General features: G+C 34.7%; 2 long non-coding RNA genes across 2 annotated transcripts in view, besides 1 other annotated feature; one reads left to right on the top strand and one right to left on the bottom strand.

Annotated features, from left to right (window-relative positions):
- The window catches only part of LOC105378305 (uncharacterized), a 198425-nt gene extending 174808 nt beyond the window's left edge, over nt 1–23617 (top strand). The window contains exons 2-3 of the long non-coding RNA NR_155748.1: nt 19482–19591; nt 23456–23617. This is a non-coding gene — a long non-coding RNA (uncharacterized LOC105378305). The remainder of the gene's footprint in view (nt 1–19481; nt 19592–23455) is intronic.
- The window catches only part of LOC124902426 (uncharacterized), a 46727-nt gene continuing 21640 nt past the window's right edge, over nt 548–25634 (bottom strand). The window contains exon 2 of the long non-coding RNA XR_007062146.1: nt 548–907. This is a non-coding gene — a long non-coding RNA (uncharacterized LOC124902426). The remainder of the gene's footprint in view (nt 908–25634) is intronic.
- Nucleotides 24588–24748: a silencer, noted in NCBI's record as "fragment chr10:54315609-54315769 (GRCh37/hg19 assembly coordinates)". NCBI's record gives its function as "represses an EF-1alpha promoter that drives an FKBP-Casp9 reporter gene in an ReSE screen in phorbol 12-myristate 13-acetate-treated (for megakaryocytic differentiation) K562 erythroleukemia cells {active_cell/tissue: K562(+PMA)}" and the evidence as "EXISTENCE:reporter gene assay evidence [ECO:0000049][PMID:32094911]".

Raw genomic sequence — 25634 nt, 5'->3', positions numbered from 1 at the left:
CTCTATTAGCAACATGAGAACAGACTAATACACTCACTAAGCTTAATCATATCTAGCTTTTTATTTAAAGTGAGAAACATGAAACTCTTTCTTTCACTTCAACACTTAGAGGCCATTGTAGGGATATTAATTGGTCTAATTTCAACACTGTTGTGTCTGAGGGAATTGAGAGTCCAAGGAGCAGGAGAAAGATGAGGCAACACCTGATTGGTGGAGCAGTTAGAATACACACAGTATTTACCAATTAAGTGCACCGTCCTATATGAATGCAGTTGGTGGTGCCCTAAAACAATTACAATAGGAACATCAAAGATCACTGATCACAGACCACCATCACAGATATAATCATAGTGAAAATTTTTAAATATTGTAAGAATTACCAAAATGTAACATAGAGACGCAAGGTGAGCACATGCTCTTGGATAAATGGCACCAATGGACTTGCTGAATGAAGGGTTACCACACAAACCTTCCATTTGTAAAAAAAAAAAAAAAAAAAAAAAAAAGCAATATCTGTGAAGCACAAAAAAAGTGAAGTGCAGTAAAATGAGGTATGCCTGTTTTTTATTAAGAAGTCTTTTTTTTTTTTCAGACGGACTCTTGCTCTGTCACCAGGCTGGAGTGCAGTGGCACGATCTCGGTTTACTGCAACCTCCACCTCCCAGGTTCAAGCAATTCTCCTGCCTCAGCTTCCCAAGTAGCTGGGACTACAGGCATGCACCACCATGCCCAGCTGATTTTTCTATTTTTGTTAGAGACGGGGTTTCACCATGTTGGCCAGTCTGGTCTCGATCTCCTGACCTCGTGATCCATCCGCCTCGGCTTCCCAAAGTGCTGGGACTACAGGCGTGAGCCACCGGCCTGGCCCAAGAAGTCTTCTTTTTATAGTTAAGGAAGGGTGAAATCCCTGGAAAAGGAGAGATTGACATCCTAAGCATTCCCAAAGATATAAAGACCTTACAAATGTTTCTGTGTTCACTTTGATAAAATCTCATCACCCTTTCAAGCATAAAACTTAAACTCTTTTGGTTTGAAATGTAGTGCTGTTTTATCTTTTGTGTGCTTAGAACTGCTCTTCTTTATAAACCAGCCCTCTTCTGCAGATCTGTATTTTTCATTTAAGATCTACAGGAAAATAAATAATACTGATTCCAAATATCTTTTGTAAGAGAATGTTCAAAAGTTTGATCATATGCAGGCCTCTTTGTTATGATATAGTAAACCTTTGATTGCATCACTCCTATCTAAACACGTTTCTTTCTCCTGACCGTCTCTCAGTTTGTATGCGGGAGTCAGGATTGGTTTTCTTGGTTTGCTTCCTGTTTTGTTTCTCTTTAAGCACAATGGCAGCCAGTTGTTCCTGCGGCACTGTGGTCTGCTGAATTTTTCTCTTATCAATCTTCTAGAGAAAAAAATGTTAAGGATGTTTGTTATTACAATAATTAGAAAGGAATTCTACCTTCTAAATTCTCACAGATATCAGGAAATATACCCATTGGCCACAATCCTAATCACTAAACTTCAGATTCCTTAAAAGCTCTATTATTTTAACTACCATTTCCCTTAAAAAATGTCTAGTTGTGGAAACCTCAGGAAATGCACAGGAAATAACTGCCTGAGAAAATGTTAGCCAGGGAACGGGGTCATATAACAAAGTGGTAAGGCATGACTGAAACTACACCCAAACATTGTTATTTTACTTCTCAAACTGTCTTTGTTGGTGGCATTAAATATTTATAAAGAAATAACTCTGTCACAATATGGATATCATGTCTTAGAAATATCATTGCCCAATTAGGCAAAGAACCAAAACAGCCAGCTAGTTATTGACTTTTCAAGGCAAGGGGAAGTGGAGAGTTGAGTCAATTATCCAGGCAATATTCTTGCTACTGAGAGAATTTGTGTTCAACGATTCCAAGTGATTGGGTACAGACACTGCTTGCAGTCAACTTTTCACTTCTATTTTGGATATCCATTTGATTTACAAGTTCACAGATATTTAGAATTGTGAAGATACGACATCTGACTTAAAAAAAAAATAGGCAGACACTTTGCAGTAGAAAAGGCTGATGTAAATAAGAGATATTCTCTCTTATCGCTCAAAATCTATTCAGATCTATGCTGATTCCATACCAGACAGACTTGAATATACATCTCAGCTTTGCTACTAGTGCTTATGAATTTGGGCATTTTTTTTTTTTTGGTATCCACTAAGCCTCAGTTTCTCTCTTTGTAAAATGACAATAACAGTACCTTCCTTTGGCTTAAAGATACACATTTAATTTCACATTTGAGTATTTCTGATGTGAAATTGATGAGTTATATAATTGATGAGTAAATTCGACATAGTGTTTTGTCTTTCTCCTAAATGAAAATTACTAAATAATGCAGTTTATAATCTACAGCATACAGAAAGAGATGAAATGGTCACATGTAATTCATAGTATTTTTTCAAGATTACAGGAGATAATACTTGAATTGCTCTTGCCACATAAAGAATACTAAAGTTTAGCTACCACACTTACTATTATCATTGTAACTGCAACTCCATGACTAAAACTACCAATGCCTCTGACTCAGTTTCCTCACGTGTAAAATAAAGGGAATAAGGTACACTCTATCTCATAGAGTTTAAACTTACCTAAAGCTCTTTGCATGGTGCTTGGTACATAATAAGTGCTCATTAAAAGGTAGCTACTACTATTATTTACAATTAATAACTGTGACCACTATCATGGCCTCTACTACTACAACCACTCTTATTAGGAGGAATTATAGCCTCATTAATCTCAAATAATTTGCAGTCTAATTATAAAAACATTAAAGCAAAATATTTCAAGATAGAATTTGCTTTCAATGTTGTTCCATTAAGCTTAGCAAGAGATTGGAGAAGAACAAAATCACAGGGTTTAAAATCACCGAGGATCATGGGACAAATCTCTGCTTCCCCCAAGCCTGATATCTTAAGAGAATGTGAAAGTTAACAGGCATTGGTAAACTTTGTAGAGCACTGTTGACTCAAAACAACTGCAGAGCATTTTTGTTGGCTTTTACAATGGTACAGTGGTAGCTCAGTTTTTTAGGACATCATTTCACCCTTCTCACTAACTCCACTGGATATACCCTGATACACTTAGGCAAATATATACACATACAAATTGGCCAGAACTGGGAAAGGTAGCAAAGGAAACCTCAAATGAGCAGCATAAGACTGAATCTACCTTGCAGCAATTCTGAAGAAAAAATCATTCACAGGAAATATGTCTACTACCTACCTTCTCTCATCACTTATTTTCTACCTTTTCCTTCTTTCTTAATTTTGCTTTTTAAACGCTGGTCTATTCTGCTTTCTCAGCACTTTTGTAAAAAAGCAGTCTTTAGATCACAGTAACTAGAGTGCTTATGCTTGCCTTGGTGTGAAAGGGATTGGAAAAATTTGTAGTTACGAAAGAGGAAAAAAGTTCTATGGAAAGAAAAGAAGAATATAAAAATATGCTCTCCAAAAGTTTTATTATATGTGAAAAAAATATTTATTTTCCTCTCACAACTCATAGTTCCTGTTACTTGTTTCCTATTAGTGAGACCATATACCAGGGGTACCCAGAACCTTAATTTAGAATTAACATGTGCCATAAGAATAATATATATTAATAATATATATTTCTGTTTACGTGGTCCACTAAAATATACATTAATAGGTGTTTTATTAGAACCCTTTTCTCGGAAGTAACAGATCCATATCAAACCAGAATAGATAAAGGGGAGATATGTTGATATATGTAATAAAACCACAAGACAATCAGTTGTGGGAGTAGAAGGCAGTTAGCTAGGCACAAGAGACAATCCATAGAGGGTCTCCATATCTTTCTGACTCTCGCTTCTACTAAGCAACTGGAAGATCTGGTATCCTATGTCACAGACTTATCACCAGAGAGACTGAAAGATACTTTCTATTGTTTATGTTCAGACAATTTTGACTGGGCCTAACCTAACCTGGGACTATTCATTCACTTTTATTGTGTAATTTATCAAATGAATATTTGGAGAATTGATTGCAGTGCAAATGAACACAGCACTATGTTCACCTGATTTTTTAGTTTTCTCTTGAGTTATAATTATTAAATCAATACTTTTCACCCTTAATAATGCAAGCCCATTATTACACAGACTATCTACACTGGGGAAAATGAAGTATTTCAGAAATATAACTCTCTGCTTGAATCAGTATTTCTGTATCTCTTTTATCTGGACTAGGACTACCTCTTGTATTGCTTTAATTTTCACATCTATTTTTAAAAATCAAGAAGTATAGGAAGATTTACACAAAACCCAACCATATAGTAGTAATAAATTTGTTTTCATAGAATTGTTTTTAACTTAAATGACAGTGGCTAACTATGTAATTTGGTTTGCACAATTTCGGAAGAAATTAAGAGAAAACAATACTCAAAATTTTTATGAAAATCAAATCAGAAACCTATTGACTAAAAACCAACAAAATTTGACTTAAAAGAAGATCCTGTTTCCAAGTTAACAGAATGTAACTGCAATTCTCTCCATTTTTGTACTAGCATGGCAAATTAAAAGGTTTTGTTTAAGTGTAAAGGGTGTATTCTTTTCATTTGATATCTGCATGCTACTTTCTGTTAGCCAATTCTAAAGATGAGATAAATAATAAATGTGAGGGACCTCTAAAAATGCTAGGTGAGAAGACAGTATTAGCATATACTACCTTTTCCTTTTTCTTAATTTTGCTTTTAAACGCTGCTCTATTCTGCTAGGAAAAAAAAATTTTTTTTTTAACTGTTGTAGGGAGTGGGGCACAGGAGTTCCTGGCTTCAGACAGAGCACCACAGCTATAGATTTTGATTAATCATAATAACTACATAGTTTCAAGAACCGATTTAAATTTCCTACCGGAGCAGGAAGCAAATTATAAAACTATGCTCATGGACTCTAGCTGTTGAGAAACATTTTTTATTTGTGTTTTGTTGTTGTTGTTTTGCTTTATTTTCCCACAATGTACACTTTGTGTTTGCCCTGGAGCTACATTACAGACAACTTACCAAGTAACTTCTTGGTTGAAGGCTGATCATTTAAGGAAAATGGGGAGAAACCTGAAATATGATGGAAACTACTTCCCTAGTCTCCCAGAAGGGAGGAAACAGATTTGCAAAGGGTGTTTATTTTAATTACTAAATTACCTTTATAGTGACTTGAGGCCAGGGAGGTACTTACTTGCAAAGCTGTAATAGAATGTTTTCAGCAGGAAATCTTAAATAAGGGTAAAACCACTTCAGGACCTTGGCTGGAATTTTGAACTGTGAACATTAAGCAATCAGCAAGAAAATAATATAGCATTATTTCATTGATATAGACTGTGCTATAAATAAGCAGAAATAAAGGAAGGAAACTGTATGTCTGATTGCCTTGGTACTAAATTTCCCCGGCAAAAAAGAAAATAGAATGGGAAAACATAATAATTTGCTTCAAAAGCAGAGCAATAAAGATATTTTGAAATGTCTTATAAAAAAACCTAATCATTAACACTAAAGATCTATTCACACTGGGAAGGGGTAGACTAAGAATAAAAAGAGGAAAAACACATTTTTTCCCTCTTGAGCTTTTTTTAGTCTCCCAGTGCTGTGGAATTAGAGCAGCAAGCTGAAATGATTTATGAAATGAAAAATTCCTGCCCACCCACTTCACAGACAATCATGTGCAATAACTACTGTGTTCTGCTATGTGCCATAATATTTAGCTCAGATGTAACCAGAAAATCCCACTACACATAGAAGAGTCAACCATAAAAAGAAACAGATTTCCTTGTATTTCTCTCATGTGTTTGCACACGGACACACCGGAAAATAATATATGCATATTTTTGCACACATCAGTAATTTCCCTTTTATCTTATCCTTCCTTTTGCTTTTCTTTTCCTTTTTTCAGAGAATTTAATTTACTTTTACTTTTAAAGTAATTCCTATATAAACTTCTCACCTCCTTTCTCTATCTTGACCCCGTAACCCTCTTTCCTCTCTAGAAGAAACTCAGAACCAGGTTGTTACCTGAGTAATTTAGCAAATAACTATTTATCTAAGTGGAATGATTGTGCTACAAAAGTTATTTAGTTAAATACTGGTTTTCTTTATATTACTAATTAGGTTTATTAGGTATGTGAATACTCAGGAGAGTATACTTTGGTCTGAAACTGTAAATAGTACATTTGTTTGTGCTATTTTGCAAAGCTTAATAAAAACATGCAAAAGAAACTATGAGTATTAAATTGAGAAATCACCATTAACTGACATATACAAGACAACTGACCAGTTCTTCCACACAAATATACTTAACCAGAACGATATGAAGTATCATGGAAAAATAAATTATGTAGAAGGAAGTCATGTACTTTCCTCTGAGAATACTGTATTTATATTGGAAAATCCTATACACAATAAAACATTGACTATCATAAGACCATTTGTAATCAACCTCTCTAGTAGTTCTGGGAAATGAAGAGATTGTTAAAAACTTGGAGAACTGAGGAAAGTCTGTGGAAACGGTGGAACTTAATATAGGTTTAAAAGACTGTTTTGTATAAGACCTTGTATACCCTGCATGGCTCTTGCCACAATGGATTGCCCAAATTGATAATTATAGCCAAACTTCAGTCTTCCCAGTTAATTATATTTTCCCATGTCCTCTGGATATCTGAGCACACAAGGAAGTTTGAGAAACAACAAAGTGTGGAAAGCAAGAGCAAACCAAGTCTTGTAGAGGAAGTAGTATCTTAGGGAAAAAGAGGTCTCAATTTCCTCTCTGCCATAATCTCACTGTGTTTTGGGGAGGTATTTACAGCAATCTATGTCTCCATATCTTAACAATAGAGATTGTGTTAAGGCCAACGATTTTTAGAAGATGAATGGGTGGAGAGCAAAATGTTTCATAGTGTGGGGGCAGATACTAAATCCTCTGGCAGAGGGAAGTTTCTAACTATTCCAAGAGACAATCTTACAAGATACTCTAAAAAGCTTTTAGTCACCAGCCCCACCCGCCTGTCCCTTCCTTGTCCAACACATACAGCTGGAATTAGGATTACTTATTGTGAAGGGGAGGGGCATAGGCCTGGGGATAGAGTGGAAATTAGAGAATTACTCTTTTATTTCTCATTCCACTTTCTCAGTTCAAAATTTATTTGTAATTCCCTGTATTTCATCTTCAAGAATATTTTTGGGCACAGAGATAAACTCCAGTGTACTTTTGAATGAAATATCAGAAAACTTTTCCACTTGATCTAAAAACTAACTTTGATAATGTTTTATGATCACAGTGCAGAGCAGGTAATTCATGTCTACATGATCTCCTGCTGAATGAATTTGTAAATTGTCATTCTACAGCACACCTTTTAAAGATATCTTCAATCTTTGACTATAGTAAACGTAAAATTGATATTAATTTGTTAAGGATTTTCTCCATTAAAGTCTCTTTCTTTTTTTTTTTTTCTTGTTCCCTAGGTAAAGTGCAATGGTGCTATCTCGGCTCACTGCAACCTCTACCTCCTGGGTTCAAGCGATTCCCCTGCCTCAGCCTCCCGAGTAGCTGGGATTACAGGTGTCTGCCGCCACACCTGGCTGATTTTTTGTATTTTTAGTGGAGATGAGGTTTCACCACGTTGGTAAAGCTGGTCTTGAACTCCTGACCTTAGGTTATCCACCCACCTCGGCCTCCCAAAGTGCTGGAATTACAGGCGTGAGCTACTGCCCCAGCCTAAAATCTATTTCCTGATATTTTTTATTCTTTTCTAGTCAACTAATATTCCAAACTATAACTCTAACTGGACTGGGTAAAAAATAATACCTGAATGCATACTTGCTTTTTTTCCATTGAAAAGAAGAAACAATCAAAATGGATCCCATTCTTATGGAAGCAGGGTATAGAGTCTACCCTTCAGCTTCTGAAAGGTAACACAGAAATAGCAGTAATCGTTGGAAACTTTTCAGTTGCAAGTGATTAACTTCCTACTTAAAACAGCATAACTTTTTTTAAACAAAAATATTTGACAGCCTTTGAGGGCATATCACTGAAAGTCCAGGGATACATTTCTTTAGTATGTCTGGGATCCAAGGTGTCACATAATTCCATTAGGATATTATATCTTTCTATTCAATGACTCTTTTTATGTTGCTGGGTGATGGCTGACAACCAAATTTTGACATCGGATTACAGGGAGTGTCTTCCCTAAGAGCTCTGGATCAGATATTCTTACTGTCTCATGTGCCCACCCTGTGGCTTAGAAGAAGATTCAGCTTCACTCCCAACTAGATCATGTAGAATGTTTTCCACAAGAAATAAGGGTTCCATTACCGAAAGAAAGAAAGAGAGAGAAGAGAGGAAAACAGTACGGTATAAGTCTACTACATAAGGGCGCATTCCCAAATATGCTGGAATTTCACCACTTAGTCATTGTTAGACTTTGTGGCAGCCCCTTCTCTTCCTAAAAATTACATTCAGTTTGCTTTATTTTCTTTCATTTAAAAATTTATTTTATTTTCATTTGTAAATATCTTGATAGAGACAAGGATAAATGGAGTATTGCGAAAGACCCATTTGTATAAGTGCTAATCGTAGTCCAAATTAACTTTCCACCAAGGATAACAAAAGCTCTATATGAAAACCCCATTTTCTAGTATTTCTTTGAGAAAATAGTAGCTAACATAAACTGAACTTTTACTGTGTGTACATTAAGTGCAAAGCACTATGATATGTGACTTACATATATTAACTCATTTACAACTCACAACTATCCTATCTTCATTTTATAGAGAAGACAACTGAGTCACTGAGAGATTAAGTAATTTACCCCAGTCACACAGCTGAGATTTCAACTATTTTAACTACCTTGTTTAAGTTATGTCAGTCAGCAGTTTACATAGATTTATGGTTTTCTTTTCTTTTTTTTTTTTTTGGGCAAGCTGGAATTTGTGTTTCTGGAGAAAAGGAGTTAATTAAACAGAATAAGCCATAAGTGTAGACAAAGACTTGCTTTCTTCTTTTTAGAGCCTAAACTGTCTATTCCAGAAAACCTATTTTAAATAGCACAGACATATTCATTCTCCAGCCTTCAGCAGAATTTTCCCAGCTACGGTGACAAAAATTCTGATATTTTAAACTATTGACTGGTCAAACTCTAAATTCAGTAAAGATAGGCTTGTCTCATTGTTAGTATTTCTCTTATTATTTAAAAGTCTCTAAGAATAAATTTTCCTTTTGGAGTTTTGAAGTTATAAACACGTGGTTTTCTTCTTGTGCTTCAATTTCTAAATGAAACCACATGGATAGAGAAATGACTTCACATGACTGGTGAGAAATACCCCAAGTCATTTGCTCCTTCTGCAGTATGGTAATATAGTCCATCTGAATTAGTCTGACATAAAAGGCACTGGAGAGTATTGGTTAGGACTTGATTGGTTGCAAGTAACATAAACTCAAACTTAAGTCCAAAGAGGACTTCATAATGAAGGTACTAGTGTTTTTCATAAACGTGCAATCCAGATTTAAACTGAGCCTCAGGAACAACTGAAACCAAGAGTTCCAGCACCCTTAGGATTTCTGTTCTGTTTCTGCTTTTTCTGTTTTGCTTGTTTATTCATGAGTAATGGTGGTTTTTTTTGGTTTTTGTTTTTGTCATCTGTGTTATATAGTAGAACAAAAATACGACCAATACCCAATTTTTATCTTCTTCTCAGACTTACCTGGAATCCTATTTCTGATTCTAAATTTTCAAAGAGAGGTTAACAAGTCCAACTTGGGTAAGTTGTTTATTCCTGGTCCAATTAGTTGTCACCAGGGAAATGACTAGAGTTGGCTCAGATTTGCTCAGCTACCAACTTTTGGAACAAGTACAAAATAACCCATGTGGGTAGGGGAAGTGGCAGCTCTCAGAATAGGAGGATTCTAGGCAGTCAAAACAATGTATCTATAGCACTGAGCCTGAGCTTGCAATTTAAAATCATTTATCTGATTTCTCATTTAGCTGAAAGAGATCTTGAGACTTAATTTTTTTCCAGTAGTGTTTATAAAAAGTTAGTACATTTTCTGCAGATTTCAAAATGTAAAAGCTAAACGCTTAACTCCAATAGCTCATATAATGTCAGTGTAAATTATCCTGGTGAAATTTGCAGAAAAATACAAAGAAAATAATTAAATGAAAAAGCACAAAAAATTACAGTCAATAATCTGACCCTTGTTGGTTCTCATCCAAAGTACATCAGTTGATGTAATTTTCACCTTTCATTTCTCTTTCTAACCAAAAACAATAATAAAGAACAATGAACAAGCTATTAGAAAAACAGCTGGAGGAAAAAGAAGAAGAGAAAGAAAAAAGGGAGGGAAGAGAGGAAGGGGAAAAGGAGAAAGATTCCAATACAATTTATGGATAATTGTATGATCTGTTGAGATGCTTTTTTTTTTTTTTTTTTAACAAATACTGCATTTTCCTCAACCTGGATAGCTATAACATTTCATCTTTAGTACCTAAGGGAAGAAAGACGACATTGAAGAGAAAGAGAGATGGGAGATGTTTGTCAATATTTGGGTTTTGAATTTCAATTTTCTTGTTCTGAGAAATAAAATATTGTCTAGAAAAGACATGGGGCATAAAACTTATACCTTAAATAATAAAGGACATTTTTCCTTATGTTCTCCCAGCTGAAACCCTGCCACAAGGTTAAGAACCTAAACCAAGCTGGTTAAGAACAAAGGGAAAACAATATTTAGATGTCGGCTTTTCATTTTCTCTATAAAGGCTTTCCTGCCCTTCCCCACACCTTCAGGCTAAGTAGGAAGGAGAACGTTAGAGCCACCAGATTTATTTGTGGGTTTTGAAGTCAGGTGGTCCTATATATCACTTTTGGAATAGAGGCTGGGAAGAGACAAGCCCCATAGGGTTCCTCTGAACTCTGTTTACCTTGGAGAGGTCGCATGTCCACATGCACCCAAGAAGGATATGGAAATGGATGAGAGAACCCAGGGCTGGAGAGCCCACGCTGTGGAATGAGAAGCACATGGCTGACTTTTTCTGGAATAAGGAAGACAAGGCAGAGATCTTCTTGGATTGACAAACAGAGGTGGGATAAGAATTTCTCAGCTGATGCTGGTGTATACAAATGACTTGAGGGAGATTTATGTTCCCCCTTCCACTCCTGCTCTCAATGCCTTTGCTGTCTATCAACATCCTAGAACTTAGACACTAGACCTAGGGAAAAGTTTGGGTGAAGGAGGGGTGGCTTCAGTTGCCTGAGGAAACTCCGATTACAACGAGATTATTTTAAACTGATTGTGATTAAGAGTCTGCCACTAATGGAACAACATAGGCTTGAAATAGAAGTAAAGTTATAACAAATACAGAAAATTTGATTTTTTGAACACATATGTTTTATACTAAAATTTGTAGCCATTACTTATTGAATAGCAGAATTGAGAAAATGATACCTATCAACAATTTTTCACCTATTTTTCCCCAGTGAAGTGTGTTCTCTTAACCAGAGGTAAAAATAGTCATTTAAAAATAATCCTAATGCCCACCAATGGGATATTTGAGTATTTCCCCTTTGTTTTAAAACCCTGGGAACCAAATTCCCTGACATTTTAATTGTTGGCTGTATATTCAAATGGAGTTATGTCATTTGCTAGAAATTTTTATTTGCTCCTTTGAGATTTAGTCCTACTTGCTGTTCAATATATGCATCTTTCTTCTTTTGTCTATTTATTTTCTTCACTTCCTCTGACCTTCTAGTACTTAAACAGCATCACTAGAACGAGACCTCCTTGTATGCTATTCCTTAGTCTGCCAGTGATAAAAAAGAATCATTTAAGTATACTTCCATAGAGGCCACATGTGTACCATGTATAGTGCTTAATATAAATCATGAGGAGAGGGCCTCCAGCATCCTATGAATAGTCTTGAACTTGGTATGCTGTAATAGGTAGTCTTTGATCCAAGGAAACCCACAATTGAATTAGCAGAGATGATTTCTTTTTTGCTTTCTTCTCTTTCTCATGCCCTTGCTAGATCTGTATCTCAGAAAACTGTATCCCTAGTGACATATGAGGAATCATTCTATTTGCAATGTCTGCAGCATCTCTGACTCAGTAAGTGACTATTAGCAAGGGAAAGTAACAAAGCTAGACAGTTCAAGAGAATAAAACTTGTCATGGCTCTATGGTAATAGTCTTTCATTAGTCCAGGGTGGAGAATAGAACAAAATGATCGTAATAACCAAGCGATAAATCAGATTATGGTAAGGATCCCTCTCTACCACACTGACATTTAGATTTAAATTTTGCTTAATTGAACTCTAGCCTTAAATGGCCTAGGAGGCTAGTGTTATATGGAAGACATTTATAACAAACCTCCCAGCTTAGAACTTTTGGTCTAAGTTATCTGTTGGCTCTGACTTTCTGCTGCTATCAAGCTTCCAGAGAAAAAAAAGGGACCAGGAAGCCATCCAAGAAGCCATAAGCAAATGTGACTTAAAATGATGGGTTATAAATGGCAGCTTTCTAGGTGTTCTGCAAGCTCCATATGAATACAAATTATACCTAAACTTTTCTTGGGTAGCCGTCCCCCAACATTTTAATTTAATTTTTATGCTTTGGCTTCATCTTATTTTCAAAAGGATTTAAAGTGACTTCTAAGATAAATAAAACATTTTAAATTGATATAAACTAGGAATAGGTAAAAATGAACAGAAAGAAGTATTTGTACATTAAGTGAGTTAGGAATGAGTCTAACTCAAAACTGAACATCAGATGGTCTTATGAATAGACACAACATACGTTCTAAGTTTATAACAAGGGAAGGAAAAAGGGATACCTGATGGGTTAGTTATATCTGATCAGTCAGTGTGTCCATATGCTCATGACAATTATTTAGAAGAAACAAAAGGAAAAGCATCTGCAGGATCCTCATGTTGGAAAAATCCCTCAGCCTTTGGCACAGAGTTAGATAAATAGTAGGCACTTGAAATAGGCTTACTAGTTAATAGGACAATGACTACTATCTGAAATTATAATTATAAAAAAGAAATGTTTCAAAATGGAAAGAAATTAAAATCAAGGAAGTTAATGCTCTTGTAGTATATTTAAGTACTAAAATGTTTCAGAGCACTGTACCAAATTTCCGGGGAGGGAGAAAGTACGAGCTCCATCAACCTAATGGGAGAAATAACATAAATCTCTTACCACGAGATGTAAGATAAATGTTAATTTCTATAATGACAAATACAGTACTGTTATATGAAAAGCTCATTGACCTGAGGGCACTACTAAGAAAATGTTTCTCTATTTTTTTTTTAAATGTTTTTACAGTATTTTAATAGTTTGAATTCCTAGTCGGGGGGAAATTATCATCTACCCATTTCCAGCAGGGGGCAGAATTACCATAGAGGAGGTAGATGGTATAAAAATATCAGGAAACAAGAAACAAAATCAAGCAGAAAAGTAAAAAAAATAGTTTGTATTTCTTGGACTCTTTCCAAGTTGACAAATATTTATCAATTTTTAAAAGTAACAAAAAGTTCTTCATGAAATATTTAGCTATTGCTACACTATTGTTTACTACCAAAGGCAATTTCTTTCAGCTACACAGTAGGAAGGTTGATTTTTGTGCAATGCTTTACAGCGTCAAGTTCTTACTGTTCCTATATGTCAAGGAGAGCAGTTGAAGCTTTACAATGATTTCTACAAGAAAATGATCCCATGTATGCTTGCTTTCTCATACTGAAGACATCTTAAGCTTTGTTGAAAAGTTCTTATCTTTCTAATTATACCTTCAATCAATGAAATAGAAAATGAAATAGAAAGTTGCAGCCAGTGGAGTGCTGGTAAATGTTTAACAACTGGGTCTCAAAACAAAACAAAATAAAACAAACAAAACAAAACAAAACAAAAGAGGGTGCGTGTGTGTATGTGTGTACATCATCTTGTAATAACTTTTGAGTATATAAGAATGTGTAAGCTTTTGTTGATTTTTCCTAACTCTTGTAATCATAGCCAACCCATAGCTGCAATTGACAAATACATGTGGTTCTGATGTGAATATTGGCTGCGATTTTTCTTTCCTTTTTTATTTTTTTTAACCCATTAAGATAAAAGTGGCCCTAACACGGTGGTTCACGCCTGTAATCCCAGCACTTTGGGAGGTGAAGGCAGGCAGATTGCTTGAGGCCAGGAATTTGACACGAGTGCGGCAACATAGCGAGACTCCATCTCTCCAAAAAAAAAAAAAAAATACAAAGAAAATTAGTTAGGTGTAGTGAAGGGTGCCTCTAGTCCCAGCTACTTGGGAGGCTGAGGTGAGAGGATTACTTGAACCCAGGAGGCGGCGGTTGCAGTAAACCGTGATCACACCACTGCACTCTACCCTGGGCAACAGAGTGAGACTGTCTCAAAACAACAAGTAAAAATTTTAAAAAGATAAACGTGAAACAGCAAGACCAATGTCAGAACTTTCCTCCTTCATCTATTATGTGAGTGATGTATATGCTGAATCAGGTAACAGTTTTTAAGTGTTAGAAAACTATTTTCTCAATTTTTTGTGCTGCACAGTATAATGTCTCCAGACATGACTCACTTTTAAGTTTAATCTGCATTATTAATGTTTCCTGTATCACTTTCTTAAATAAAGACAATAAACAAAACAATTAATCAAGCCCTGATTTATAGCATTTGCCTGCTCTGTGGGTTAAGTGATATGAATACTCTCACCATGACCCATTTCAAACTACTAATGCAGTATCACTGAACAGAGTTGAGAAGAGATGCTCAATAGCTCATGATTATGTATTATTGCTACCATATAGATTCAGTAAGGAAAATTACCTAGACAACATAGGTGATACTAAAATGTATACAATATTTAGGAAGTGCTGGGTTTTGAGTATTTATTACCTTTGATTTTTAATGTGATAGGTTATATGTGCCAGCTCCAGAACACCACTGATCATGAGAAACTTTGTGAACTCTTAAGACAAAAGTGTAACACGAAAGGAAATAAAATTAACACTAAAGACTTGGAAATAAAAATGGAGTTAATACATTTCTCCATTTAGTTCTATTAACACTAAGATTTACAGAAGCGTTAAAAGAAATGCAATTCCTTAGGTCAATATATTTCATTTCTTGAACATGTGGAATCATACCTAGTACATTTGTGTTTTCCCAAGATAAGACATAATATATAATAATCCTTTTGTGTTCCCTCCAAGTAAAGTGATTTATAGGTGAATGAATAGTATTATACCAAAAATGTTTATTAGTATTTTTCAAAAATTATCTTTTTTGAAAATTTTTTTTAATACTTCAAAATTTTCAGAAATATTTTCTAGCTGGGAGATAAAGATCATCCTAGCCTTCTCTCAGCTTTTTCTGGCTGTCTTCTAGCATATTTATGTCACGGCTATAGCACAAATTGGGGACAGTTCTACACACAAGAAAATGATTCTGAACAGAATTTCTCAGGTTCATTCTGGCTGGAGAAATTTAGGCCACATGCTGACCCCTGAAGTTAAAGGTGAAGTTACTTTCTATTTAAACATACGGACTCCATTCAGAAGAATGAAATTCTAAAAACTGTTAGAAAGAGTGGAGCAAAGAATGAAGGCCAGATAAGAAACCAACAAATGCCCATTATATCTTCTACTCCAAAGTCATTAAGGAATACCATTTTGTTTTAAACATCAAGTTTAAACTTCTCTGCTTTCAAATTCTGCCACATTTTGCCCCACTCTTAACTACCCAACTTTACTTCCCACCAATTTCTTTCTATCCTTGACAGGCCAGTCTCACTCTTCTAGGACTTTATAATGTTTATACCTGGTTTTGTACCTCATTGTCTTCTCTACATTTGGAAGATTCTTTCCTCTTTCCTCTTTTCCAGTAATTAGCCATTAAGGCCCAATTCAAAAACTTACATTCCATTTTTCTTTCCACTGTGAATGATCACAGTTCAATTCAATTAAGCATTTGTGTACTAAGCAACTAACGTGTATGGTAGAAGATTTCTTAAGAGCGTGGTGAGTTGAAGATACTTGTGAGAAATCTACAAACAGCTATTTATGAAGAAGCTGGAAAATTGGAGATCTAGAGTTACTGAGAGTTTAGGACCAAAGATAGAGACTTATCCACATAAGTACTGAAATAGAAAGTTTGCCTAAGCTAAGGCAAAACTATAGAGAAAGAAAAGAAGAGAACTAAAGACAAAATAGACACATAAGAAGTGAGGATATGGAGCAAACCACAGCGACTGAGTAGTGTCAGAGAAGAAGAAGGAAAAATCTGTTCACATAAATCAAAAAAGGAAAATATCGATTAAAAAGGAAAATATTCAAAGGCATCTAACACAGTTGAATTAAGTATGTGAACTTTGGTTTTCTGGATCTCACCATTGTCTGACTGTAGTTTCTACTTCATTTCAATGTGATAAAATATAATTTGATTTGTGACTGATCAAACATTGGATTAGATCTACCCCAATCCCATTAGACCTGCTCAGAGGAAAATGGACCTTGTGCTATAAACATAGTAATCTCTTCCCTTTTACAGGGTATATGGCAGACAGTTCCCAAAGATAAGCATATGAAAGAGACATGCCATCCCAAAGTATGTCTTTTTTGGCAATTAATTTCACTATCCAAAACTTCCATTTAACACCCTTCCCCACCAATATGCCGGTCATTAAAAGGACAAAACATATCCTTAGTTGAATATTTAAGTTCAATTTAAAAATGTCTCTTTCTTCCAATCTTTGGTATAATTTGACATGTTCTGTGATTTTCAGTTGTCAGGCATATTAACTTATGAATCACTACTGTATCACTTTAGGACAAGTGAAAACTTTTTGCTTAGACAAAAAAAAAAGAAAAAAGAAAAAAGAAAAAAATTACTGAAGCTGAAATCAACTCATTGCCCCTAGCCCTGCCCAAAAGAAGAAGAGAAAAACATCGAGGCATGAAAAAGTGTTTTTCAACCCCTGCTACTCTGTGAGTCACAGAGCTTGATGCCATAAATTAGGCAATTTCTCAACCATAGACTGAATGTTATATCACATAATCACAGAAGTAACAGTATTTTGTATTACTTGTTTAAATTTTGTTTTCTGAAGTATCTTTCTTACAGCATAATGCTAGCAGGTACATTTTAAGGATGTTAAAACTGTATCTATTCAATTCTTGACTTAACAGGGATACTTACATCTTAAGTAAAATTTCCCCAAATGTGCTTTAGAAACAAAAAGGCATTTATATTTTTACATCAGGGTTGTCAAGGGCTGCAAGGTAGAGGGGAGATATTGACTATAAGTGAGACATAACAGAACTTTTTGGAATGATAGAAATATTCTCTATTTTGATTGTGGTGGTGGTGATATGATTGCATACATTTGTTAATATACATAAAGTACACACACAAAGGGTCAATTTGATGGTGAGTAAATTACATCTCAAGAAAAGAGAGTAAGAGAGAAAGAGAGAATGTGCAGATAAATATAAAATTAAAGTTAAAAGGGTATTCATATTTAAAATTAACTTCTTTCCTGAGCTTCTTAATATAGAAAAAAAAGAGGGAGATTGAAACTTCACCAAAATTACTTTCTCTGAAGAATCTCTGAATTGTATAACTCCCATAATACTGAAAAGTTAAGAAACTTACATTTTTACAGAATTAAAAATACAATGAATTTATGATGTATAAAATATGTAGGCATGATTTAAAAAGAAAACATGGAATATCCTTTTAATCTTAAAAGAATCCAGTTCTGGCTATATTTTTTTCTCAGTCTTTTTATGTAATTCAAATAGGTTTGATTTTTATACCTGTTCTAATTTTAAGTTACTTTGAAATCACACACAGCAAGATACTTTGAAATGCCTTATAATAATTAAGACAAAAATCCTAAACATATAAAAATAACACAATTTATTTATTAAATAGTAAGTGTATTGAGCACTTACTATATGTGTAAGACAATGTTAGTCACAATTGCAAGGACTTATGAAGATAAGCAAGCTGATCACTGAATTAAGGGAAGAAATAATTGCTCATAAGACAGGTGTTTTAAGCAAGGCTGAGCTCACGGACAACATACGAAAATGCTGGGGTTGGTTGAAAGTCTGGCTGCAAAGGAATAAATACTACTAAGGCAGAAGAAGCACAAAATATAAATGACAGGAAGTTTGTAAAGAAGAATAGTAGATTGAGGAGGAAGTGGGATCAAGAAAATTTTTGTTTAGGATAGGAGCTAATGAAGATGGAACATCAAAAAGTCACTAAGAAAACATCAGCTACTGCATTGAGAATAATATTCTGATGGGGAGGTTCACCTTGCCAAGGCACTGGGGTACTTCTTTCTCAGAGACAAAAGCAAAAAATAAGATATAATAATATTAAGAATGAGAGGAAGCAGGTGTTGACATATGATATAAGAAGAAGAAGCTGTGCCCCTAGGAAATTCAGGGCTGGATAGCTTTAGAAGCACTAAACACTAAATTGATATGGTGTCCCACCCATACGTCCCTACCTAAATCAAAATTTTAGAAAAATATTAAAACACAAATTATTTCTAGTGAAGTTCAACAAAGTTCTGATATTTCACATGATGAATATTTCTGGTACTTTATGTTTGAAATATCAAATTATTTCAAAAGAAATGATGTTTAGTGGTTAGTGCCTGTGCTTTGCTGGTACCTCAATTCATGCCTAGACTCTCTGTTGAGTTTCCAGCAATAGAATTTGGGTGGTTGTTTAGACCATGTGCCAAGGATGGCATCACCTGAGAGAGTGAGTGAGTGGACAAAGTGATGAGTCTAGTGTTCAATTTATTTAGTCATTTGATTGGTCACTCAGAGATAGATCAAACTAACCAAACTCACAAGGTTCCGTTACACAAATGAAAAAGCAAATACAATAATAAAGAGAAATGTCACAAGCAACCAAGATATGCTCATTTTAAACACACCTTCTCCCTGTGCTATTTGATTTGTAACAGGGATATCCTTTTCCAGTGCTTAATATGTTTGTGTCGGCATTTTTGCCTTCACCAGAGAATCTGATAAACCAGGCAAATGACTGGAAATGTACAAAGTAAACATAGAATCCAGGCATTCATTTCTTCACTAACCATTCACATAACGGGAACTATACTAGGCACCAAGAATGCACTGAAAAATGAAAGCAAATGATCAACCTCATGCATCTTACCACCTAGAAGAGGAAATAAGCACTAAAATCATAATTATAAAATTGGGTTCTATGAAAGAATATTAATAGAGGAATTTACTTAGTTGGTGGGACCAGTGGAGGCCTCTCTGAGAAAAGCACATTTTAACTGACATTTTGCTATATAGTCTTTAAGTATATTCTACCCAGCTCATATGCTACTTATAAGAAACAGATATGTTTAATAACTGTAAGTTTGTATCCTACAGGTTGAATGTACAGCTGGTATAAAAATGGTGCTTTGTCGTCATGAAGAAGGTGTATTCTGGGATCAAACCACCTGGCTGGAGATGCTTACTAACCTCAGTTTCTTCATCTGGTAAGATGAACATATTACATACCTTGCAAGTTATTGTCAAGATGAATTGTGAGAAGAAATTAGTATAGTGCCTGGCTAAATGGTAAATGTTTGATATGGATGATTGCTATTGTTATTATTATGGTTAACATCGAGTTTCTCCTCTGAAAGTGCTGAATAAATCTTGCCAATTTTTGTTCTCAGGAAGGTGCCCTTTTTGTAATGAAAACTGGGACAATTCCTTGTTGTTGACACATTTTCTTTCTTGAATAATGTTACTATCAGATCAAATTATAGACTTTGGCTTCGGAGCATTTTATATTTTATATTTATTCTGACTTCTTCAGAAATCTGACCTGTACATTATAATTTTGCTAGTTTAATTGCATTGAGAAGAATAGGCATTATATTAGAGCTTAACAGCATTGATTCTGGACCCAGCCACTTGGGTGGGAATTCCAGCTCTACCACTTGTTACGTGAGTGGCCTTGAATAAAAAACTATCTGTGGCTCAATTTCATTATATATATATAATATATACAAAATTTTGTATATATATATATATATTATATACAAAAATAATAGTACTTACCTCATGGTTTTGTTATAAGAAATAAATTAGGTAATTATATAGAGCACCTGAAACCTTATCTGGCTCTTAAATACTGTTATGTATGGTAGCTATTATTATGTTTTTATGTTTTCATTCAATCCTTCTAACAACTGTCTGCATTAAGTAGGAATCTTTAATGAAATATAAAGTCCATGTAGACAGTTACACTTAGTTCTTGTTAATTAATCTATCACCAGTACTTACAACAGTATGTATTTAAAATATATATCTTTGTTCATTGGATGAATGAATGAATAATGAATGAGTCTGCATGTTGCAGATAAGGAAATTACAGCTGAAAGGGATTTGATGATTTGTGCAAAATATAACTAGCATGTAACAGGGTCAAGATTTGGACCTAAGTCTGTTTGACTATAAAATACGTATGTTTAATGACACAAATTTGTGGTGGAAACACTTGGTTAAGTCTTGATCTTTTTGTAGTACTGCTAAGTTCTGGAAGAGGAAAAGGCAGATAATGGAAATTACCATTGCTAGGAACTAATATGGTAAGGCAGATGAATGAAAGGGGTCCAAATGTGGTTTGTGGAGCACCTGCATCCTACTCCAAAGGATATTCCAAATCAGCATCTATTAGGATAGGGTTCTGGAATCTGTGTTCCTAGTAAATACCCTTGCAATTCTATGTTCACTAATGTTTGAGAAGTCCTGGGGGACATGTTCTGAGTACACTGAAATAGTGGGCATTCAAAAGCAATTGCAACAGAAGCAAAAATTGACAAATGGTGTCTAGTTAACCTAAAAAGCTTCTGCACAGCAAAAGAAACTATCAACAGAGTAAACAGACAACCCACAGAATGGGAGAAAATTCTGGCAAACTATGCATCTGACAGAGGTCAAATATTCAGCATCTATAAGGAACTTAAACATATTTACAAGAAAAAAACAAGTAACTCCATTAAAAAGTGGGCAAAGGACATGAACAGACACCTCTCAATAGAAGACATATATGCAGCCAAAAATCATATTAAAAAAAAATCTCACTATCACTAATCACTAGAGAAATGTAAATGGAAACCACAATAAAGAGGGCTGGGTCCTGTGGCTCACGCCTGTAATCCCAGCACTTCGGGAGGCCAAGGTGGGCAGATCACTTGAGGCCAGGGGTTTGAGACCAGCCTGGCCAACATGGTGAAACCCCGCCTCTACTAAAAATATAAAAATTAGCTGGTCATAGTGGCACACACCTGTAATCCCAACTACTCGGGAGGCTGAGGCAGGAGAATGGTGTGAATCCGGGAGGCAGAGCTTGCAGTGAGCCAAGATTGCACCACTGCACTCCAGCCTGAGCAACAGAGTGAGACTCCGTCTCAAAAAAAAAAAAAAAAAAAAAGGGTCAAAAAATAACAGATTCTGGCAAGGTACTAGAGAAAAGGAATGCTTATACAGTGTTGGTGGGGGTGAAAATTAGTTCAACCACTGTGGAAGACAGCGTGGCATTTCCTCAAAGACCTAAAGACAGAAATACTGTTGGACCCAGCCATCTTGTTACTGGGTGTATACCCAAAGGAATGTAAATTGTTCTATTATAAAGACACATGCACATGTATGGTCATTGCAGCACTATATACAATAGCCAAGACATGGAATCAATCGAATACCCAGCAGTGATAGACTGGATAAAGAAAATGTGGTACATTTATACCATGGAATACTATGAAGCCATAAAAAGGAATGAGATCATGTCCTTTGCGGGGACATGGGTGGAGCTGGAGGCCATTATCCTCAGCAGACTAGTGCAGGAACAGAAAACCAAATACCACATGTTCTCACTTATAAGTGGGAGCTAAATGATAAGAACACATGGACACATACAGGGGGAAAACACACACTGAGGCCTATTGGAGGGTGGAGAGTGGGAGGAGGGAGAAGATCAGGAAAAATAACCAATGGTTACTAGGCTTAATACCTGGGTGATAAAATAATCTGCATAAGAAACCCCTATGATACATGTTCACTTATGTGACAAACCTGCACATGTACCCTTGAACTTAAAAGTTTTTTAAAAAACATAAAAAAAGAAATGGTGGGCAATGATGTCAGCAAGTGAAAGGCAAGAAAAGTCAGAATGGAACTGAAAGTGCGGTGTCTAATTCTAAGTTTGCAATGGCAGTTACAGGTATCATAATTGCCACCAAACAGCTCTAACATACTCAGTCTTATCTAAACACAAATAGCAGTGTCAAAACTCTAGTCTATACCTCACAATGTCATAAGTATAGGTCACATATATATAACTAGCAAGTAAATCATTTTAATACTTAGTTCACAATTATCATTGATTATAAATAATAAGAAATTTAACCTGTCTTTAAAGTCATCTTTCATTATAGTACTATTTTTAAGCAAGAAGTTTAAGTTTAATATACTTATTATTTCACAAACACATTTATTTTAGATTTGTATAATTTTTTAAATACTCCCATTTTTTAAATGTTGCCAAGAAATAAGCATTGAATTTAGCATTAGGGTACCCACAATCTTTTACACATGACATTAATTTAGTCCTACTCTTAAGGCTAAAGGGGAAATGTATTTTCAGTTAAGAATTCAATTCACTTGTGCATGATTAGATGGATATTTTGGATGTCATCTTTAGAAACTAAACATTCTTTAACACTGCTTCATAAACACTCAACTGGTCTATTAGCTGCTAAATCTGTTTGCATAAAATCAATCTTCAGATATGTCACTGATGTTAAAGAATTCTTTAAGATAATTGTCACTCTCTTACAAATGGAATGATTCTAAAATTGGTTTTAAAATGCATAATCGGCCCATTTTATGTAACCTAGGTATTTGCCTACCCTTTCTACTATTTAGTGTCATGTTGGTAAATATTCAATTGTATTCTGTTTTTAAACTTCTCTTCTTGGCCTTTTGATGTTTTATTCTATACAATCTATCTTTTACTTCTTCTCCTTTCCAGGGAGCTTCTGACTATTTTGCTTCTCACTCAAAAATTTAATGAAGCTGCTGTCTTGTAAATTATTATCAATTCCATTTTCCTTGGGTCCCTATTTTTTAATATAGTTGCCCATTCTGGTAACTCTGTCCTAATTTTATTTCCAGAAACATGCAACTGGTAGAGTTTTCAAAAACATTTTCTTTGTCTACTTTCGTTTTAAAATTTTTTAATTTATGCAGCACACTTTAAAAGATAGAAAATAATATAATGTGTATCTATATGTATGTGTGTGTATATATATATATACACTAAAATGGATGTTAACATTTTGTCTTTACTTTAGACCTTACCTTTCTAAAAGAATAAGAAGAAGATGATACATATTCCTCTAAAGTCCCAACAGGAACCTTTTCCCCTCACTCCCTCCCCAGAGATGTGTATCATTTCCATGAGTGTCTGTACTTTTACAACATGTGCATATTAATAAACAAAATATGACAAATTATTTTGTCTTAATATTTGCATAAATCTAGCCATACTCTACACCACTTTTGCAACTTTCACTATTATATATTTTGAAGATTATCCGTGTTTATGCACATAAGTTTATCATTTTAACTGTTGAATAGTGTTTCATTATATGAATTAACCATAATTCATCTATTTCCCTGAGTGACAATTAGGTTTCTTTTTGTTTTTATGCTCTGATGAACAATCTTGCAATTATTATCTTTGTATATGTCTTCATGTATAAGAAATTCTCCAGGGTAGACACTTAGAAGTAAAGGGTCTGACTCAGAGAGTCTGTGTATTTTAAAATGTATTGGTTATTGTCAAATTGTTCCTCAAAGTAGATGTACCAATTTACATTCCTACAGTGGTATATAACAGTTTTTTTTTCTCCACATCCTCTTCAACACTCGTCATTACCAGCTGGACTGATGTTTGCCTGTGTGATAGGTAGGTGGCAACACCTCCTTCTTTTGATTTGTATTTTTCTAATTAACAGTAAGATTGAGCATCTTGGCCGGGCACGGCGGCTCACACCTGTAATTCCAGCACTTTGGGAGGCTGAGGCAGGAGGATTGCTTGAGCTCAGGGGTTTGAGGCTGCAGTGAGTTCTGATTGTGCCACTGCACTCCAGCCTGATTGACAAAACAAGACCCTGCCAAAAGAAAGAAAGAGGCAGGGAGGGAGGGAGAGAGAGAGAGAAAAGATTGAGCATCTTTTCTTATGTTTATTAGCCATTGGTTTTTATCTCTTCTCACTGGCACATTCATGGTCTTTGCCCATTTTCTTTCTAATGGATTGTCTTTTTCTTATTAATGTGGAAAAACTCTAAACCCACATTAATCCTTTGTCACTTATGTAGATGGAAAATATATTCTCATACTTTGTAACTTGTTTTTCCTATTTGTCAAGCAAAAATTTATTTTAAATGTCATTTTTAAGTGTTCTGTATGTGTTAGAAAAGAATGTCTATCACCCAATTATTGGAAAAAAGTGTTATTTTGGTATCAGTAAATTAATCTTGTTAATTTTGTTATACAAATTTCCAGAATTATTGATTTTCTTAATCTGATTGATCTATTAATTACTGACTGAGGTGCTTAAAAATTTCCCAGAATGAAGATGGGCTTCTAAATTTCTTCTTGTACTTATCATAATATATTTTATCTATGCTCAATTCATGTTTAGTTTCATTACACCTTTCTGGTGAATTGAACCTTTTATCAGTTTGTATTAATCTCCTACATCTTTGGTAATGCTTTTTAACTTTCATATCTATTTTGTCTCATTTTACATATTTATACTAGCTTTGTTTATCTCTTCAATTTCTTGCTATCTTTGTTGTCTCTATGTATTCCTTCTGAACTTCTCATTAAACTGGAATTAGGTTTTCTCGTTCTACCTCCTACATGTTTTAAGAGCTCTTTCATATTTTTTTTTACTTTCTCTGTCTGTGGTTCATAAGGAAATTTTCAAATGAATCTTTATGTTTACTATTTTTCTCTTTACTTGTATTCTAACTGAACTCCAACTCCAATTATAACATTTCCTTTTTCTAGAAATTTTACTTGGCACATTTACAAATCTGTCTGTTACACTTTGATGTACATCCTATGTAATCATAGTTTTTATTCCCACTTTTATTTCTTTTTACTCATTAAATATTTTCACTCTTGTTAACATACTGCTTTGGGAGTTTGATTATTTCAGATGTGAGTTTATATTCCTTATAACTTTATATGCACAAATCTTGTGTCAGTCAAAATGAAATGCATTTCTTTAGAGAAAATTTGCACCTGCTTCTGCTAAAAACAATACATCCCAGGGTCACTTGAAAACAAATGGGATGATAGGTGTTTTTTCACCGACATCAATGGCATGTATTCCAGCCTCAAATTCACCCAAGGGACAACTTCCAGTGGTAATTCTCAGAGACCATTTTTTCCTCTGCTTCACCCAGAGTGAAAGCCAAGACATAAGTTTTCTTACACTCTTCCTTTGTGAACTGGTTT

The sequence above is a fragment of the Homo sapiens genome, chromosome 10 (assembly GCF_000001405.40).
Source record: "Homo sapiens chromosome 10, GRCh38.p14 Primary Assembly".
In the NCBI taxonomy this organism is placed as follows: Eukaryota; Metazoa; Chordata; class Mammalia; order Primates; family Hominidae; genus Homo; species Homo sapiens.
This window is presented reverse-complemented; position numbering and strand designations above follow the sequence as displayed.